Source organism: Homo sapiens, chromosome 1 (genome assembly GCF_000001405.40).
Source record: "Homo sapiens chromosome 1, GRCh38.p14 Primary Assembly".
In the NCBI taxonomy this organism is placed as follows: Eukaryota; Metazoa; Chordata; class Mammalia; order Primates; family Hominidae; genus Homo; species Homo sapiens.
This window is the reverse complement of record NC_000001.11, coordinates 27,851,784-27,872,147: the sequence shown is the minus strand read 5'-3', so window position 1 is coordinate 27,872,147 and position 20,364 is coordinate 27,851,784. Positions and strand designations below refer to the sequence as shown.

General features: G+C 53.6%; 6 annotated features.

Moving 5' to 3' along the window:
* Positions 2,430–2,479: an enhancer, noted in NCBI's record as "active region_575". NCBI's record gives its function as "activates an Ori minimal core promoter by ATAC-STARR-seq in GM12878 lymphoblastoid cells {active_cell/tissue: GM12878}" and the evidence as "EXISTENCE:reporter gene assay evidence [ECO:0000049][PMID:35858748]".
* Positions 4,514–5,035: a transcriptional cis regulatory region, noted in NCBI's record as "candidate enhancer chr1.3986 targeted for multiplex CRISPR interference". NCBI's record gives its function as "positively regulates THEMIS2 gene expression with high confidence in K562 cells {active_cell/tissue: K562}" and the evidence as "EXISTENCE:mutant phenotype evidence [ECO:0000015][PMID:30612741]".
* Positions 8,391–8,500: an enhancer, noted in NCBI's record as "active region_574". NCBI's record gives its function as "activates an Ori minimal core promoter by ATAC-STARR-seq in GM12878 lymphoblastoid cells {active_cell/tissue: GM12878}" and the evidence as "EXISTENCE:reporter gene assay evidence [ECO:0000049][PMID:35858748]".
* Positions 8,841–8,920: an enhancer, noted in NCBI's record as "active region_573". NCBI's record gives its function as "activates an Ori minimal core promoter by ATAC-STARR-seq in GM12878 lymphoblastoid cells {active_cell/tissue: GM12878}" and the evidence as "EXISTENCE:reporter gene assay evidence [ECO:0000049][PMID:35858748]".
* Positions 8,941–9,000: an enhancer, noted in NCBI's record as "active region_572". NCBI's record gives its function as "activates an Ori minimal core promoter by ATAC-STARR-seq in GM12878 lymphoblastoid cells {active_cell/tissue: GM12878}" and the evidence as "EXISTENCE:reporter gene assay evidence [ECO:0000049][PMID:35858748]".
* Positions 15,316–15,610: an enhancer, noted in NCBI's record as "tiled region #12814; K562 Activating DNase matched - State 8:EnhW". NCBI's record gives its function as "activates a minimal TATA promoter and a strong SV40 promoter by Sharpr-MPRA in K562 cells {active_cell/tissue: K562}" and the evidence as "EXISTENCE:reporter gene assay evidence [ECO:0000049][PMID:27701403]".

Here is a 20,364-nt window from a genome sequence, read left to right as displayed (position 1 = left end):
TCGATAATTATTGTCTACGTTGGCCTCGAACTCCTGGACTCAAGTGATCCTCCCACCTCGGCCTCCCAAAGTGCTGGGATCACAGGTGTGATCCACCTGTGAGCCACCACGCCGGGCCTCACCAATTCTAGTTAAAAATTCTTCCTAAGGCTAAAGAGAAATCTGCTTAGAAGCCGGACCAACCACTTATCCTGACCCCACAGGCTCGGGATAAGCCTTTTCCATTTCCCTGTCCCTCAGGAGTCAGACCAACATAGGTTCAAATCCCAGGTCTCCTCTTGCTCGTTGTATGACGTTAGGCAAATCACTTTGATTGTGTGAACCTCAGTTTCTTACTCTCTAAAACAGGGAGAAGAGGGCCGGGCGCAATGGCTCACGCCTATAATCCCAGCACTTTGGGAGGCCGAGGCGGGTGGATCACCTGAGGTCAGGAGTTTGAGACCAGACTAACATGGTGAAAACCCGTTTCTACTAAAAATACAAAAAAACCTAGCCAGACGTGGTGGCACACACCTCTAATCCCAGCTACTCGGGAGGCTGAGGCAGGAGAATCGCTTGAACCTGGGAGGCAGAGGTTGCAGTGAGCCGAGATTGTACCATTGCACTCCAGCTTGGGCAACAAGAGCAAAACTCCGTCTCAAAAAACAAAAACAAAAACAAAAAAACAGGGAGAAGAGGCTGGGTGTGGCCTGTAATCCCAGCACTTTGGGAGACTGAGGCAGGAGGATCACTTGAGACCAGGAGTCCTAGACCACCCTGGGCAAACTAGCAAGACCCTGTCTCTTAAAAAAAAGAATAAAATAAAATAAGGCCAGGCGCGGTGGCTCACGCCTATAATCCTAGCACTTTGGGAGGGTGAGGCGGGCAGATCTCCTGAAGTCAGGAGTTCAAGACCAGCCTGGCCAATATGGCAAAACCCTGTCTCTACTAAAAATACAAAAAAATTACTGGGCACAATGACTCACGCCTGTAATCCCAGTACTTTGGGAGGCCAAGTTGGACAGATCACCTGAGGTCAGGAGTTCGAGACCAGCCTGACCAACAGGGAGAAACCCCGGCTCTACTAAAAATACAAAAGTAGCTGGGCGTGGTGGCACGTGCCTGTAATCCTATCTACTCAGGAGGCTGAGGCAGGAGAATCGCTTGAACCCGGGATGTGGAGTTTGCAGTGAGCCGAAATTGCATCATTACACTCCAGCTTGGGTAACAAGAGCAAAACTCTGTCTCAAAAAAAAAAAAAAATTAGCTGGGTGTGGTGGTGCGTGCCTGTAATCCCAGCTACTCGGGAGGCTGAGGCAGGAGAATCGCTTGAACCCGGGGGGGCAGAGGTTGCAGTGAGCCGAGATCACGCCACTTTACTCCAGCCTGGGTAACAGAGCAAGACTCCATCTCAAAAATAAATAAATAAATAAGTAAATAAATAAAATATCCAGGCATGGTGGCATGCACCTGCACTCTCAGCTACTCAGGAGACTGAGGCAGGAGGGTGGCTTGAGCCTGGGAGGTCGAGACTGCAGTGAGCTATGATCATGCCACTGCACTCCAGCCCCAGCCTAGGCAACAGAGTGAGAACCTGTCTCTAAAAAAATAAAAAAATAATAAAATAGGAGAAAGAATTATATCTCAGCAGATTGTGAGGATTGAATAAGATGATATAGGTATTGTGCAAAATGCCATATTTAGTTTTTTTGTCACTATAAAAGTAACAAAAGACTTTTAATCAAAGATAATAACAGAAGTTTAAAATACAATGAATAAATTCTAACTAAAGAACATTTGATTAATAAAAAGCAGGCATTCTTTACCCACCACCCAAAATACTTACACTAACTACTAATATTTTGTTGTGTTTCTTTCTAGTTTTTTTTTTTTTTTTTTTTTTTTTGAGAGGGGTGGGCGGTCTCATTCTGTCACCCAGGCTGGAGTGCAGTGCTGCACACACAGCTCACTGTAGCCCCCAACCTCCTGGGTCAGGCTTCACAAAAGTGAAGGGTCTTGCCTAAGGTTATGCCAAGTGGAGACACTGGGATTTTAACCCGGCTCTGCTAGGCTCCTCCTGCAGGCCAGAGAAAATGACCGTTCTTCACTTCTTTCCCAGGTGCTTAAGCAGATTGTGGAAGTTTGCTGGATTTCTGCTCAGCCCAGTTATGTCTAGAATTTCAGTAGAGGATGGGCTTTGGAGATAGACAGAGCTGGGCTCAAACCCTGGCTCCACTACTTCTTAGCTGTGTGACCTTGGGCAAGTCCCATACCCTCTCTGAGTCTCAGTCTCCTCTCCCTCTTTACAACCAAGGCTGGCAGGAGACAGGTGTTGGTAAAAATGTTAGTGTAACCCAGGCACATGGGGACATGCCCAGTACCCCATATCTACAATCATTACATGATATTGTTCTTTCCCAAGACCTCCTGTGCCTCTGACAAGAGTTCTCATCTTCTTTATTTCTCCCAACACTCTGCATTCTATTTGAGGAAATAAGACACTCAATGGGAACCTGACTTCCTTGCGGTTGCCCGTGTAATGGAGGAACTAAAATCTGAACCGAACCTGCAGGTGGTCACGGCCCAAGCCCTTTTCACTTCCCCAGGTTGGGAGCACCAGCCTGGGGATCTGTCCTTGGCTCCTCAAGAGCTGAATGGGGCAGAGAAAGAAGCTCAGATTCCCACAGTAGGACAGGGGCAGAAAGGAAGTCCCCCCGCCCCCACCAGCTGTGAGGAGGATGCCTCCAGCCACCGGGAACAGAAGTTCCTCATTTCATCAACCCATCTCTGTCAGCTTTTGGACTCTGAAGGTGGATGGCTCAGGACCTCCTTTGGACAGTGCAGGAGGCAGCTGGCCACAGCGGCAGGGTGACAGGATGGGGTCAGACCCGTGCCTGCTGTGTGGCACCACACACTCCGGTATATGATGTGTCACGTGACTTGGTGTTTTTCAGCAACTTGCCAGGCAGGATGTGGGGTCCTCCCTCTCCTCCCGTGTTTCCTCCCACTGTAGAGGAAGGTAAGGGCCTAACACTGACACAGCACTGGGCAGCGGTTGTTAAGGTGTCCTGCCATCCACTTCAACACCCACCGGCGTGGCCCACTCACCCAAAGCGGTGGGAAACATCCCAGCAGCCAGCAGGGTCAAGGGCAGTGTGGCAGGGACAGGGAGAATGCCTGTGCTCTGAGGGCGAGGGATGGAGGCCCAGCACATCCCTGAGCCTGCAGAAGGGCTGGAAGCCCTCCGCATGCTGGCTGGAAGTTACCAGTGTCCCTACCGTGTGATGCTGCCAAGCAGTTTGCCACTCAGTGATACTCCAGGCACCCAGGCTGCCCACCAGAGCAGATACACGCCTGGCCTGTGGGTCCCGAAGTTGTCCTCGAGTTGCTCCCTCACTGGGAGAGCAAGATCCACCAGCTGGCCCAATGGCTTCATGGCGCCCTTCCGCAATGACCACAATACAAAGACGGCACCACAGCAGCCCACAGGTCTCCTGCAGAAATGCTCACAGTTCCCAGGCGCGACGGTGGCAAAAGGGCATGTCTTGTCTTGTAACTGTTTTCTGGATTTTCCAGAACACAGTTTGAGTACTTAAAAGAAATTTTTTTCTTCCAGTCTGGAGCCTTGTCTTATTTTTAATTTTTAAATGTTTTTTAGAGACAGGGTCTGGCTATTTTGCCCCCTCTGCCCTTGAATTACTTTCATATTAACAAAAACAACATGAACAGACCCTGCATGGCCCCTCTGAGACAACTGTGGAGATCATGGGGGAGGGGTTCTCCCCCCAGTGCAGGTTTTCACAGGAGTAAAATAGGTCACTTTCGGGAAAAGATGCTCAGCATATCTTTTTTTTTTTTTTTTTGAGATGGAGTCTCGCTCTTGTCACCCAGGCTGGAGTGCACTGGTGTGATCTTGGCTCACTGCAACCTCCGCCTCCTGGGTTCAAGTGATTCTTCTGCCTCAGCCTCTCGAGTAGCTGGGATTACAGACGTGCCCACCACGCCCAGCTAATTTTTTTGTATTTTTACTAGAGACAGGGTTTCGCCATGTTGGGAAGGCTGGTCTCGAACTCCTGACCTCAGGTGATCCACCTGCCTCGGCCTCCCAAAATGCTGGGATTACAGGCGTAAGCCACTGCACCCGGCCAATGCTCAGCATATCTTTAAGGAGGCAGGCGTGTCTGCTTGTAAAGCCTCAGAGGGCTGGCTCATGCTCCTGTGTGGTGGAAAATTAGTTCGACTCCCCTCTTGGCTTTTTTCTTTTGTTTTCTTTTTTTTCGAGATGGAGTTTCACTCTTGTTGCCCAGGCTGGAGTGCAATGGTGCGATCTTGGCTCACTGCAACCTCCGCCTCCCAGGTTCAAGCAATTTTCCTGCCTCAGCCTCCCGAGTAGCTGGGATTACAGGCATGAGCCACCATGCCTGGCTAATTCTGTATTTTTAGTAGAGATGGGGTTTCTCTGTGTTGGTCAGGCTGGTCTTGAACTTCCAACCTCAGGTGATCCACCCGCCTCGGCCTCCCAAAGTGCTTGGATTACAGGCATGAGCCACCACACCAGCGCAAAACCCTTAATTAAAAGAAATTAAGGAGTGTGTAAGCAGAAACTCAGTTGTATGTAAGAAAACCCAGTTCCCCCGAGGAAGAGAAAGAGCTGGAGTCCTTTAAAAATTAACTGCCTGTGTTTCTGTGGCTAGTGAGTCTTATCTGTCCCTTTCCCAGACATTGTGACAACCCTGTTTCTCTAGATGTGCAGCTGCAAGGTCACTAGGCAGATAAACTCAAGTCACAAAACGTGTTTTTCCTTGAAAAATAAGAAATGATGTAATACGTGTCTCAATTGATTAAATAACTGCCTTTGTTTCTCGCTTCTGTAGTATGCTTCCGCCTGCACAGTTCTCCCCCCGCCCCACGAAATGCTTAAAAGGTAACTTAACTCTTTGTTCAAGGCTCAGTCCTTTGCATGTTAATCTGACTGGGCCGGTGCACCTAAATAATTAACAAATATCCTCCTGAACCCCATAGATCTCTCTGATTCCTTATAAATCCAGCAACACTGTCACCCAGGCTGGAGTGCAGTAGTGCAATCACGGCTCACTGCAGCCTCAACCTCCCAGGCTTAAGCAATCCTCCCACCTAAGCCTGGTGCATGCCACCATGCCCAGCTAATTTTTTTTTTTTTTTTTTTTAATTTGAGACAGAGTCTCACTCTGTCGCCCAGGCTGGAGTGCAGTGGCGCGATCTCGGCTCACTGCAAGCTCTGCCTCCTGGGTTCACGCCATTCTCCTGCCTCAGCCTCCTGAGTAGCTGGGACTACAGGCGCCTGTCACCACGCCCGGCTAATTTTTTGTGTTTTTTAGTAGAGATGGGGTTTCACCGTGTTAGCCAGGATGGTCTCGATCTCCTGACCTCGTGATCCACCCACTGCGGCCTCCCAAAGTGCTGGGATTACAGGCATGAGCCACCATGCCCGGCCCATGCCCAGCTAATTTTTAAACCTTTTTTTATAGAGAAGGAATTTTGCTATGTTGCCCAGGCTGGTCTTGAACTCCTGGGCTCCAACAATCCTCCAGCCTCAACCTCCCAAAGTGCTGGGATTACAGGCATGAACCACCATGCCCGGCCCATACAATGAATATTATTCAGCCTTAAAAAGGTATAAAACTATGACACACGCCACAATATGGAGGAAACTTCTGGACATTACGCTCAGTGAAATAGGCCCATCACGAAACGACAAACACTGTATGATTCCACTCAGATGAGGAACCTAGAGTCGTGAAATTCATAGAAAGTCAAAGGGAGGCCTGGTGCAGTGGCTCACGCCTGTAATCTCAACACTTTGGGAGGCTGAGGCGGGTGGATCACCTGAGGTCAGGGGTTCAAGACCAGCCTGGTCAACATGGTGAAACCCGGTCTCTACTAAAAATACAAAAATTAGCTGGGCATGGTAGCGGGTGCCTGTAATCTCAGCTACTTGGGAGGCTGAGGCAGGAGAATCTCTTGAACCTGGGAGGCAGAGGTCGCAGTGGGCTGAGATCAAGCCACTTCACTCCAGCCCAGGCGACAGAGCAAAACTCCGTCTCAGCAAAACAAAAAAAGAAGAAAGTCAAAGGGTGGCTTTTCCCCAGCCACTGGGGGAACGGGGAATTTGGGAGTTGTTGTTTAATGGGTGAAGAGTTTCAGTTTTGCAAGATGCAAATGTCCTAGAGATTGGTTGTTTGCACAATGTGAACATACTTAACACGACTGAATTATACACTTAAAAATGATTAAGGGCCAGGCGCGGTGGCTCAAACCTGTAATCCCAGCACTTTGGGAGGCCGAGGCAGGGGGATCACGAGGTCAGGAGATCGAGACCATCCTGGCTAACACATGAAACCCCATCTCTACTAAAAATACAAAAAAATTAGCTGGGCATGGTGGCGGGCGCCTGTAGTCCCAGCTACTCGGGAGGCTGAGGCAGGAGAACGGCATGAGCCCGGGGGGCGGAGCTTGCAGTGAGCCAAGATCAAGCCACTGCACTCCAGTCTGGGCAACAGAGCGAGACTCCGTCTCAAAAAAAAAAAAAAAAAAAAAAGATTAAGGGCACATTTCTCAAGGTCTCCTGAGGACTGTGTCATGAATTTTTTTTTAACTGTTAAGATGGCAATTTTTTTTTTTTTGAGACAGTCTTGCTCTGTCACCCAGGCTGGAGTGCAGTGATGCGATCTCGGCTCACTGCTACCTCTGCCTCCCGTGTTCAAGCAATCCTCCTGCCTCAGCCACCTGAGTAGCTGGGATTACAGGTACCCGCCACTATGCCCAGCTACTTTGTGTATTTCTAGTAGAGACGGGGTCTTGCCATGTTGGCCAGGCTGGTCTTGAATTCCTAACCTCAGGTGATCTGCCTGCCTCGGCCTCCCAAAGTGCTGGGATTACAGGGGTGAACCACCACACCCGGCCAAGATGGTTAATTTTATGTTACGTGTATTTTACCACATTTTTTTTTAAAGACTGCTTCTAACCCTAAACCCAAAGTGTAGCATTGTTTATTCTTCAGCAGTGGTCTGGCTGGTATTGAGTTCCCGGTTGAAACAATGTTCCCCGCAAATTTGGAAGCATTGGTTCCATGGTTTTGCAGTCCTTTTTTTTTTTTTTGGAGACGGAGTTTTACTGTTGTTGCCCAGGCTGGAGTGCAGTGGTACTATCTCCGCTCACCACCACCTCCGCCTCCCGGATTCAAGCAATTCTACTGCCTCAGCCTCCCGAGTAGCTGGGATTACAGGCATGCACCACCACACCTGGCTAATTTTGTATTTCTAGTAGAGACGGGGTTTCTCCATGTTGGTCAGGCTGGTCTTGAACTCCTGACCTCAGGTGATCCGCTTGCCTCAGTCTCCGAAAATGCTGAGATTACAGGTATGAGCCACCACGCCCGGCCCAGAGTTGAATCTTCACACATGCAGAGGCAATGGGAAGGCCTGGGACTCTGGGAAGGGGAGCTGTAACTGGCTGGCTCATTAAGTTCACAGCAACCCTGAAATGCGGGTTTATCTGGTTCTTTCCATTTTATATATAGGAAAAAACTGCACCTAGAGAGGTTAAACTGTGTGCCCGAAGTCCCCCAGCCAGGAAAAGACTGAACCAGGGTTTAGTCAGGGTGGAACCCCACACCCACAGTGCTCCTCAGAAGAGGAAGGCCTGGGGAAGTTCCCTTTCTCATGGGGCCTCTGGAGCCCTCCCCATACGAACTCCCTGCTTGTATCTCCTTGCTGCTCTTACTTGCCCTAAGGGTTTGAGAATTTTGTTGAAACATGACTTCAGTTTGGTGGCCCCACTGTGTCACTGGGTTCAAGGTTGAGGCCATGTGGGTAGCACAGATGAAGGGACAGCCTCTGGATTTTGGTTGCTCCTTCTAGCTGGGAGGAAGAGGAGGGTGTCTTAGTCTGTTTCCTGTTACTGTAATAGAATGCTGCTGACTGGATAATTTACAAAGAAAATAAATTTATTTCTGGCCAGGCACGGTGGCTCATGCCTGTAATCCCAGCACTTTAAGAGGCCAAGGCGGGTGGATCACCTGAGGTCAGGAGTTCGAGACCAGCCTGGCCAACATGGTGAAACCCCGTCGCTACCAAAAATACACAAATTAGCTGGGTGTGATGGCTTATGCCTGTAATCCCAGCTACTCGGAAGGCTGAGGCAGGAGAATCGCTTGAACCCAGGAGGCAGAGGTTGTAGTGAGCTGAGATTGTGCCATTGCACTCCAGCCTGGGCAACAAGAGTGAAACTCTGTCTCCAAAAAAAAAAAAAAAAATTATTTCTTACAGTTTTGGAGGCTGGGAAGTCCAAGGCTGAGGGGCTGCAGCTTGTGAGGACCTTCTCACTGCATCATAACATGGCAGAGGGCATCACATGGTGAGAGGGAAGAGCCTGTCAACTCAGGCGTCTCTTCCTCTTCTTGTAAAGCCACCAGGGTGACCATGGGGGCCCCACCCTGATGACCTGATCTAATCCTAAATACCTCCCAAAGGCTCCACTTCCAAATGCCATCAACATAAGAATTTGGGGATTAAGTTTCCAACACCTGAAATTTGGAGGACACATTCAAACCACAGCAGAGGGTAATAATACCTGCCCACCTAATGGGGCAGGATCCAAGGACCTGGAGAGGAAAGGAAGAAGGAGCTTCTTAATGCATTTCAATTCAACTCTGTCCATGCTGCTGGCCTGCTGTTTAGGGCACATTGTGGGGTTGCCAGGAAACAGTGGTGAGTGTCCTCCCAGCACTCACACAGGCAGGACATAGGGTGTGAGGATTGCTCAAGCAGATCTTCTTTCCACAGCTTGAGGACTAGGGAAGCATGCCCAGAGGAAGTCATGGGTGAGTCAAGGGTGAGTGGGACACAGAGCGAGAGGGAAGAACAGAGGAGAGCATACTGGGGAACTGAAAGAGATTTCGAGTAGGAGGCAGAGAGCAGCCAGGCATGCGGGACCCCAGAGGCCTCAGTAAGGAGTTTGCTCTTTGGGGAAGAGTTCTTGATTGATTCAAATGAGTGATGTGGTGTGAACTGCATTAGGTGTGAAGATGGCTTGGCAGGGCAGGGAGGGGCAGTTAGGAGGCTGGTGAGGTTGCTCAGAGGAGAGGATGGAAACCCAGCCTGGAAGGCTGAGAAGAGAGGCAGGTAGGAGGCAGAATGGAGTGAGGGGCGAAGCCCGTGGGGTCTAGGTGAAGGGGCTCATCTCTCCTGTCTGGGCAAGGTGCTTCTCGCTCTGCTCAGGGTCCAAGGTGGGGGTTGTTGAGGGGCCATGTGCGGGGAAAGGAGCCCAGCAGGCTATGCTGGACTTGCTTGCAGCCCTGCTGGGACCATGTGAACTGCGACATGCCTCAGGCCCAGTCCTGAGCCTTACCAGAATAACTAGGGCCTGAGTCCCAGGTCCATGCTGTCATCCCCTCCAGGTGGGTGCTGGGTTCCAGAGGGGCTACTGCTGCAGCCATCTGTGCGGGGGGCCTCCTCCCTGCTTTCTAAGGAAGCCTGGAGCAGTCAGTTTAGAGGTCTCTCTCCAAGGGAGTGATTCCAGCCACTGGGGGCTGCAGGGGCCAGTGGAGACCTAGAGACCGCCCAGAGGACAGAGAGAGGAGGAGAGGTGGGGAGTGGGCCACCCTCTGCCCTTCCCTGAAACCCTGCCACCTGAGCCCCCTCTTCTTACAGTTTTGTAAGTAGAAGTCCTCAGAATCATCCTCCCCGATGTGGGGGATGTGGCCTCACCCTGTCCCGCTTCCAAGCCTGTGTCCAGGCCAGTCTTGAGCTCCAGGTGTGCACACATCTGCCCTGATTTCTACGGCATAAAGGGCCTCAATCTCAGCACCTTCCCCATAACCTGCCCCTCTCCTGTGTTCCCCTCCACAGTGAATGACACCTCTAAACCCTGGATGCCCAGCCAGAGTCCCCAGAGGCACCTTGGGTCTTCTTCCTTCTCCCTAGACTCTCCAGCGTGGTCCAGGCCACATTGTCTTGCCCTGAGACCATCTCACTGCTAGTCTTCCCACCTCCAGCCTCACCTCCCCGGGACTGTCCCCTCCCTCCCATCTGCTCTTCCTTAAAAAAAAAATTTCATCCTCACATTGTGGTGGCACTAAATACAATTTGCACAAATTCTTCCACAAATATCAAATTAATATGATTTTCCTCTCTGATCTCCTTGCACAACATATTGGAAATTACAATTATTATTAAAACAAAAAATACCTATATATTTATTTATTTGTATATTTATTTATTTAGAGACTGGGTTATTAGACTGGTTAATTTTTGTATTTTTGGTAGAGATGGGTTTTGCCAGGTTGCCCAGGCTGGTCTCGAACTCCTGGATTCAAGCGATCCTCCTGCCTCGACCTCCCAAAGTGCTGGGATACAGGTGTGAGCCACAATGTCCGGCCCCTCTGCTCTTCCTAAATGCAGCTCTGACATATCACCTCCTGCTTCAACACTTCCAGGACTCCCCATGGCCCTCAGGTGAAGTCTGAGCTCCTGATGACGTGGTCTTTCGTGTCCTGGCCTCTGACAACATTCCAGCCTCATCGCTTGCCTTCCTTTTCCAGAACATTCTCTCCGGCCACATCAAAGCACTTGCATTTCCTCAATCCTGAAACACCTCCTCGCTTCCCCAGCCTTTTGCACATGGCTGGAATACTCCTCCCACTCTTTCTTATTTATTTTTTGTATTTTTAGTAGAGGCGGGGTTTCACCATGTTGGCCAGGCTGGTCTTGAATTTCTGACCTCAAGTGATCCACCCACCTCGGCCTCCCAAAGTGCTGGGATACAGGTGTGAGCCACTGCGCCCGGCCTCTCCTCCCAACTCTTGTGCTTGGATAACCTTTATTTATCCCTCAGATCCCAGCCCTGACAGCCCTTTTCCAGCGAAGCCTTCTGGTGGCCAGGCTGGTTAGGCGCTTCCTTGGTTTGCTCCTGTCCCAACATCGATTCATTCATTCAACAAATTTTTATGGCGTGCCAGCGATGTGCTAGGCTGTTCCAGCCATTTTGAATACACTGGGAATCAAAACAGACAACAGCCCCTGCCCCTAGTGGAGCTTACACTCAAGTGAGGGGAGGGGAAAGGCAGACCATAAACAATATGCAGTCAATAAGTAAACGATACCACCGTAGGGTGGTGTGTGGTAGAGGGGATGGTGCTGTGGGAACAGTGGAGCAAGTGGGAGGTCGGGGATAAGGGGTTGGGAGTGAGGAGGGTTGGCCTCATTGAGATGTTAGCCTTGGGGCCAAGACGTTGTCAATGCCCTCCAGCCACAGACTCCCAGGAACAGAGGGGCATCTGAGTAAGTTGGGTTCGTGACTATGTGCTATCATAGGGATAGCACATGCCATGGGAAACTGTGGGGCAACTCAGTAAGCTGTGTTAGAAAGGACTTACAGGATTTGGGTTAGATGACTTTTGAGTGCTTAAGAAAGCAGGGCTTCGGGCTGGGCATGGTGGCTCACGCCTGTAATCCCAGCACTTTGGGACGTTGAGGAGGGTGGATCACTTGAGGTCAGAAGTTCAAGACCAGCCTGGCCAACATGGTAAAACACCGTCTCTAATAAAAATACAAAAAGTAGCTAGGCATGGGGGTGCGTGCCTGTAATCCCAGCTACTCTAGAGGCTGAGGCAAGAGAACTACTAGAACCTGAGAGGTGGAGGTTGCAGTGGGCTGAGATCATGCCACTGTACTTCAGCCTGGGTGACAGTGAGACTCCATCTCAAAGAAAGAAAAAAGAAAGCAGGGCTTCACTCTGGATTGGATGCTGTGCAGAAGCAAGGGTATTTCTATGGCTGAGGACATTAATACATTTTATCTAGAGGGAGGCAAGACTAGACCAAAGCTAGAGCTGTGATCAGTAAGAAGCAACAGCGTCTCCTATGAGCCAGGACAGGGGGATTGTATTCGTTTCTGGGTCCGCTGTAACAAATGACTACAAACTTGGCAGGTTAAAGCAACATAAATGTATCCTCTCACAGTTCTGGAGGCCAGAAATCAAAGTGTTGTAGGGTTGGTTCCTTCTGAAAGCTCTGAGGCAATCCTCGTGCTCCTTGGCTTGTAGACAGATCATTCTAACCTCCACATCTTCCCATGGCCTTTCCTTCTGTGTCCCCGTCTTCTCCTTTTCCAGTTTTTTTTTTTGTTTGTTTGTTTTTTTTGTTTTTTTTTTGAGATGGAGTCTTCCCTGTCGCCCAGGCTGGAATGCAGTGGTGTGATCTTGGCTCACTACAACCTCTGCCTCCTGGGTTCAAGCAATTCTCTTGCGTCAGCGTCCCAAGTAGTTGGGATTACAGGCGCACACCACCATGCCCGGCTAATTGTTTTGTATCTTTAGTAGAGACAGGGTTTCACCATGTTGGCCAGGCTGGTCTCAAACTCCTGACCTCGTGATCCACCCGCCTAGGCCTCCCAAAGTGCTGGGATTACAGGCGTGAGCCACCACTCCCGGCCTCCTTTTCTGTCTCCTATTAGGTCATTCCTGGATTAGGGCCCATCCTAATGCAGGACGATCTCATCTGAAGATCCTTACCTTAATTACACTTGCAAAGATCCTACTTCAACTGTGACATTCTGAGGTCCTGGATGAATGTTTTAGGGCCTACAGGTCAACACCCACTGCAGGGATGATTGGTCCTTTTTGTGGCTTGGACATTGTTCATGTTTTATTTGTGCTCAGACATGACTGTGGAGTGGCCCTGTTTGTGTCGTGATCCATCGTGGTCCCAGGTGGTTTGTCTGTTGCTGATGTCCTGTGAAGTCATTTAGGTTCAGCTGGAGAATACCGAAGCCCCGCTGGGCTCCAGGCGGGCTCCAGGAGGTCAGGGCCTGCTTTTCTCTTTCTCAACGTAGGGACAGGGAGCGAGGGAGCCCTGCTGATGCCTGGGAGAGAGGCCCAGCCACAGGGGCAGGGCAGGCATGTGCCCTGAGGGTGGAAGGAGCAGCCAGAAGCCCATGGGCTATAGGGGAGCGAGCAAGGGGAAGCAGAGAGGTGACGGGAGGGTGACGGCGTGCAGGGCAGGGTGAGGCTGGCTCTCACTCAGAGGGAAATGAGGGGCCGCAGAGAAGCAAACATGACCAACTGTGGAGGGAGCGAGTGTTGGGGGAAGAGCCTGCCTGGAGTAGGTTCAACAGCAAATGGAGGAGAGGAACTAGGGACAGAAAGTGGAGCAGAGAAATGGGAGGGCGGCTGGGGCAGCTGGCGGGGAGTGGAATCAAGAGGGTTTGCTTAATTTTCCATGAAGGAGAGGACAGTAATGGTGAGTCTGGATGCTGCTGCCAGTGACCCAAAGGAGAGGGAGGACTGCTGCCAACAGGATGGGGCACAGTGGGAGCAGATGCCTTGATTGGGGAGGCGGGGATGTGGGGGCCACCGAGGCAGGCAGGCTGGGAGCCGCGGTGAGGGGCTCAGGGGTGCACTTCCTGCTGGTAACCCTGCCCCTGGCTATGGGCGCCAGCCTCTATGGGGAGCTGCCCAGGCCCAACCTGGCACAGCTGTGGAGACTCAGTAGTACTTGAAGCCCCACATACCACAAAGGGGACAGAGATAGAGACAGAGGGGACAGGAACTCGAGAAGGAAAAAAACTCAGGGAACAAAATCCAGAGCCTGTCACAGATGTGGAAAGAGCAGGGGAGGAGCCTGGGCTGGAGACTCCCCTGCACCGTCCCTGCTCCAAAACCTCAGGGCCGGGCTAGAATCCCCACTGCATGGCTTGCCAGGGCTGTGACCTGGGTCTGTGTACCCTGAGCCTCAAGTTCCCCATCTGTAAAATGCAGACACTGCCAACCTCCTCTCAGGGCTGTGCCCGGGGGAATTAAGGAGGTAAGTCACATAAAGTGCCCGGCAGTGAGCCAGATTATCTTCCCTCCCTCTCTCATCTCATGCCCCACAGCCCTGAAGGTCTTTCAAAAGTGGGCACAGGGCCCAGCCTGCTGGCAGAGGCTGGAACTGCACCCATGCCCCTGTTAAAGGTAGAAGCTTCAGCATCCAATTCCCTCCAGGGAACAGGCAATGGTTTTATTCCCTCTCCACAGAGAACATCCAAACTCCACAGGCATTCAAGGACCTTCCCTCCACCCCGGCATATGCCAGACTTTAGTCCACTCTGCCCCATCTGTGCTCCCACAGTAGCCCCTGCGTGGAGCACCCTCCCCTCCACCACGTGGAGACATCCAATGTCATGCTCTTTGAAGCCCCCCCTCCCCTCCCACAGGCAGAACTAACGGAGAACTCTCTCTTCAGTCTTTTTTGTGTGTGTGTGTGATAGAGTCTCGCAGTGTCACCCAGGCTGGAGTGCAGTGGCACGATCTTGCTCACTGCAACCTCTGCCTCCCGAGTAGCTGGCATTACAGGTGTGCGCCACCATGCCCGGGTAATTTTTGTATTTTTAGTAGAGATGGGGGTTTCGCCATGTTGGCCAGGCTAGTCTCGAACTCCTAACCTCAGGTGATCCGCCCGCCTTGGCCTCCCAAAGTGCTGGCATTACAGGTGTGAGCCACTGAGCCCAGCCGTCTTCAGTCTTCTTGAAACACCTGGACTTTTCTCTAGATCTGCTAAGCTGTGAGAAAGAGAGCACTAGAACACCTGCTTGTCTCCCTGCGTGGAGAGATTCATGAGAGGCCAGGGACCCCTTATTCACCTGCTACCCCATGGATTTTCTATCATCTGAACCTGACCATTCACTGCCCGTGCTGAGACCTTCCCAAGGAAGCCTCCCCTGCTCTAGGTGAGGGTGTGTGTGATGTCAGTTTCTCTGCATTTTCCAAAACATCTACCTGAGCATGTCTTTTTTTTTTTTTTTTTTTTTTTTTAAGAAAAATATCCTTCAGTGCCTTCCTGGTAATTCCCTAGCAAAGCTTATAGGGTAGGCTCTCCTCCCCGCTCCCACTCACCAGCCACCCCCATCCCATGTCCTCTTTCCACACCCCTCTCATGGTGGCCCCTCTGCTGGGAAAACCATGGTCCACATGCCTCAGGTAATAAATTCCTATTGCTATTCTCGCCGGCTCCATCCTTCCACTCGAGCTGTCAAGGGTCTAGACAGCATCTGAGTGCCTGGCTGTCTCCCTCTAGGTGAGCCTCTTGTAGTAGCTGGGGTAGCAGGGGTGGTGCACTTCCATAGGCCCAAGTCATAGACGTCTGATCCATCCAAGTTGAATGAAGCAAGTCCTCACTGCCATAGTTTGCTCATTTGCAAAATGAAGGGTCTAGACAGAACCTCCCAGGTCTCTTTTGACTCTGAAATTCTGACCTATATTTAGTAGTGGGCATATTTTAGGCAAACGGTCATCAAACAGCTGATCCTGGGCCAGGATCCCCTGGGGAACGGGCCGTTCAGTCAGTAGATGTCTTTCTCCACAGGATTTGCCACCGTCTCCCCCCCGGGGAGGGGAACATGGGTCTCCCTTCCCTTCTCAGCAGGTGGCCCACCAGTAGGCACAGGATTTCGGGGAAACCAGCAGTCAATTCTCATCCGGGGTGGGCCTGTGTCCCAAGATAGGGACAGGCTGTGTCCCTCAGCAGCACTGTGCTCACATGAGTATGAGGCCACTGCTGATCCTGGGAGTGAACAGAAGGGGCTCATCCATCTGTATTGTCATCCAGAGCTAATTAGGGTAACAGGCAGTTGAGCCCCATCTTGGAGTGCTCATCTCTGAGGGCACCTAAAACATAATTGGAATCAGAAGTATGGCGCCAGCTAAGCCAGGTTTCCACACATACATGCCTCCCCAGTTCTGCTTCCGCTTAACCGGGCCCTTAAAGTACATGAAATATCAGCCGGGGGCCATGGCTCACGCCTGTAATCCCAGCACTTTGGGAGGCTGAGGCAGGCAGATCACCTGAGGTCAGGAGTTTGAGACCAGCCTGGCCAACATGGCAAAACCCCACCTCTACTAAAAACACAAAAATTAGCTGGGCATGGTGGCTGGTGCCTGTAGTCCCAGCTACTCGGGAGGTTGAGGCAGGAGAGTCGCTTGAACCAGGAAGCGGAGGTTGCAGTGAGCCGAGATCGCACCACTGCACTTCAGCCTGGGGGACAGAGTGAGACTTTTGTCTCAAAAAAAAAAAAAAAAAAAAAAAAAAAATCCTTGCAGGTATGTATATTCTGTTGTGCCTTCTTTGAAATGCCAATCCAAGTTTCACTCTGCAACTCAGATTCTGAAAGCAAGAATGCATGGTGGCTCAGTGGCTCACGCCTGTAATCCCAGCACTTTGGGAGGCCGACGCAGGCGGATCACGAGGTCAGGAGTTTAAGACCAGCCTGGCCAATACAGTGAAACCCCATCTCTACTAAAAATACAAAAATTAGCCAGACGTGGTGGTGCGTACCTGTAATCCCAGGTACTTAGGAGGCTGAGGCAGGAGAATTGCTTGAACCTGGGAGGCGGAGGTTGCAGTGAGTCGAGACCGTGCCACTGTGCTCCAGCCTGGGTGACAGAGCAAGACTCTGTCTCAAAAAAAAAAAAAAAGAAAAAGAAAAAAAATGCATGGCATAACCTTCTCATCAGGAAGGACTTCATCTCAGCTATATCTAACATACTTTAACACACTTCCAGTAAGTTGTTCAGTTTGGACATCTTTTAAAGAACTACAAAACAGGCCAGACTCGGTGGCTCACGCCTGTAATCCCAGCACTCTGGGAGGCCAAGGCAGTTGGATCACCTGAGGGCCGAAGTTCGAGACCAGCCCGGCCAACATGGTGAAACCCCGTCTCCACTAAAAATACAAAAACTAAAGGGTGTGCCACCTATGGACCAAGCATATCCCCACCTTAAACTCTGGATTCAGACTAGAGTTTCAATCCTGTCTTCAGTACAGGGGGCTCATAGGGAAGTTTGTTTAGTCTCAGTCTCAGTTTTCTCATCTATAAAATGGGGATAAAAACAGAATTCCTCTTGGGGCTATGAGAATTAGATGACGTGCTGTAAATGGATACATGGTAGGTAGGTAGGCAGGTGCTTAGTGATTGTTCACCACTACCAACAGTACCATCTTCACTAAAACGAGAGGAAGGTATTGTCCTGATGAGGACACTCATTTTTTTTTTTTTTTTTTTAATTTATTTTTTTATTGATAATTCTTGGGTGTTTCTCACAGAGGGGGATTTGGCAGGGTCATGGGACAATAGTGGAGGGAAGGTCAGCAGATAAACAAGTGAACAAAGGTCTCTGGTTTTCCTAGGCAGAGGACCCTGCGGCCTTCCGCAGTGTTTGTGTCCCTGATTACTTGAGATTAGGGATTGGTGATGACTCTTAACGAGCATGCTGCCTTCAAGCATCTGTTTAACAAAGCACATCTTGCACCGCCCTTAATCCATTTAACCCTGAGTGGACACAGCACATGTTTCAGAGAGCACAGGGTTGGGGGTAAGGTCACAGATCAACAGGATCCCAAGACAGAGGAATTTTTCTTAGTGCAGAACAAAATGAAAAGTCTCCCATGTCTACTTCTTTCTACACAGACACGGCAACCATCCGATTTCTCAATCTTTTCCCCGCCTTTCCCGCCTTTCTATTCCACAAAGCCGCCATTGTCATCCTGGCCCGTTCTCAATGAGCTGTTGGGCACACCTCCCAGACGGGGTGGTGGCTGGGCAGAGGCGCCCCTCACCTCCCGGACGGGGCGGCTGGCCGGGCGGGGGGGGCTGACCACCCCCACCTCCCTCCCGGACGGGGCGGCTGGCCGGGCAGAGGGGCTCCTCACTTCCCAGTAGGGGCGGCCGGGCAGAGGCGCCCCTCACCTCCCGGACGGGGCCACTGGCCGGGCAGGGGGGCTGACCCCCCCCACCTCCCTCCCGGACGGGGCGGCTGGCTGGGTGGGGGGCTGACCCCCCCACCTCCCTCCCGGACGAGGCGGCTGGCCGGGCGTGGGGCTGACACCCCCACCTCCCTCCTGGACAGGGCAGCTGGCCGGGCGGGGGGCTGACCCCCCCACCTCCCTCCCGGATGGGGCGGCTGGCCGGGCGGGGGGCCGACCCCCCCACCTCCCTCCCGGACGGGGCGGCTGGCCGGGCAGAGGGGCTCCTCACTTCCCAGTAGGGGCGGCCGGGCAGAGGCGCCCCTCAACTCCCAGACGGGGCGGCTGGCCGGGCGGAGGGCTGACCCCCCCACCTCCCTCCCGGACAGGGCGGCTGGCCGGGCGGGGGGGCTGACCCCCCCACCTCCCTCCCGGACGAGGCGGCTGGCCGGGCGTGGGGCTGACCCCCCCACCTCCCTCCCGGACGAGGCGGCTGGCCGGGCGGGGGGGCTGACCCCCCCACCTCCCTCCCGGACGAGGCGGCTGGCCGGGCGTGGGGCTGACCCCCCCACCTCCCTCCCGGACAGGGCGGCTGGCCGGGCGGGGGGGCTGACCCCCCCACCTCCCTCCCGGACGAGGCGGCTGGCCGGGCGTGGGGCTGACCCCCCCACCTCCCTCCCGGACGAGGCGGCTGGCCGGGCGTGGGGCTGACACCCCCACCTCCCTCCTGGACAGGGCAGCTGGCCGGGCGGGGGGCTGACCCCCCCACCTCCCTCCCGGATGGGGCGGCTGGCCGGGCGGGGGGCCGACCCCCCCACCTCCCTCCCGGACGGGGCGGCTGGCCGGGCAGAGGGGCTCCTCACTTCCCAGTAGGGGCGGCCGGGCAGAGGCGCCCCTCAACTCCCAGACGGGGCGGCTGGCCGGGCGGAGGGCTGACCCCCCCACCTCCCTCCCGGACAGGGCGGCTGGCCGGGCGGGGGGGCTGACCCCCCCACCTCCCTCCCGGATGGGGCGGCTGGCCGGGCAGAGGGGCTCCTCACTTCCCAGTAGGGGCGGCCGGGCAGAGGCACCCCTCACCTCCCAGACGGGGCGGCTGGCCGGGCGGGGCGCTGACCCCCCCACCTCCCTCCTGGACGGGGCGGCTGGCCAGGCGGGGGGCTGACCCCCCCACCTCCCTCCCGGACGGGGCGGCTGGCCGGGTGGGGGGGCTGACCCCCCCATCTCCCTCCCGGACGGGGTGGCTGGCCGGGCTGAGGGGCTCCTCACTTCCCAGTAGGGGCGGCCGGGCAGAGGCGCCCCTCACCTCCCGGACGGGGCGGCTGGCCGGGCGGGGGGCTGACCCCCCCACCTCCCTCCTGGACGGCACGGCTGGCCGGGCGGGGGGGCTGACCCCCCACCTCCCTCCCGGATGAGGCGGCTGGCCGGGCGGGGGGCTGACCCCCCCCACCTCCCTCCCAGACGGGGTGGCTGCCGGGCGGAGACGCTCCTCACTTCCCAGATGGGGTGGCTGCCGGGCGGAGGGGCTCCTCACTTCTCAGACGGGGTGGTTGCCAGGCAGAGGGTCTCCTCACTTCTCAGACGGGGCGGCCGGGCAGAGACGCTCCTCACCTCCCAGACGGGGTCTCGGCCGGGCAGAGGCGCTCCCCACATCTCAGACGATAGGCGGCCGGGCAGAGAGGCTCCTCACTTCCTAGATGTGATGGCGGCTGGGAAGAGGCGCTCCTCACTTCCTAGATGGGATGGCGGCCGGGCAGAGACGCTCCTCACTTTCCAGACTGGGCAGCCAGGCAGAGGGGCTCCTCACATCCCAGACGATGGGCGGCCAGGCAGAGACACTCCTCACTTCCCAGACGGGGTGGCGGCCGGGCAGAGGCTGCAATCTCGGCACTTTGGGAGGCCAAGGCAGGCGGCTGGGAGGTGTAGGTTGTAGTGAGCCGAGATCACGCCACTGCACTCCAGCCTGGGCACCATTGAGCACTGAGTGAACGAGACTCCGTCTGCAATCCCGGCACCTCGGGAGGCCGAGGTTGGCGGATCACTCGCGGTTAGGGGCTGGAGACCGGCCCGGCCAACACAGCGAAACCCCGTCTCCACCAAAACCAGTCAGGCGTGGCGGCGCGTGCCTGCAATCGCAGGCATTCGGCAGACTGAGGCAGGAGAATCAGGCAGGGAGGCTGCAGTGAGCCGAGATGGCAGCAGTACAGTCCAGCTTCCGCTCCGCATGAGAGGGAGACCGTGGGGAGAGGGAGAGGGGGAGGGGGAGGGGGAGGGGGAGAGGGAGACACTCATTTTTACAGACCCTGTGGGGAAGTCAACTCTTTGCACAGCTGATGTTATGAATTTCTGTTCTTCAGAAGGTTGCTCCTCCTACGAGTCTGCACTTGACCCAAGGATCTGGAACCTAGCTGGCATCTTCATCTCAAAGCCACATGTAAGTCTCACAAACACAGTATACTTACTGCAAATGAGATTCCGTATGCAGGCATATTCCTTCAATTCAAATTCTTGCTGAAATCCCTCCTAAACTTACTTACCTTTAGCTTCCGTTTGCTCCTGTGTCACCAAGCTATGGCTCAAATGCACAGAGCTCTAACTGCAGGGTGGGTGATAGGGCTTATGCAAACGCCCTA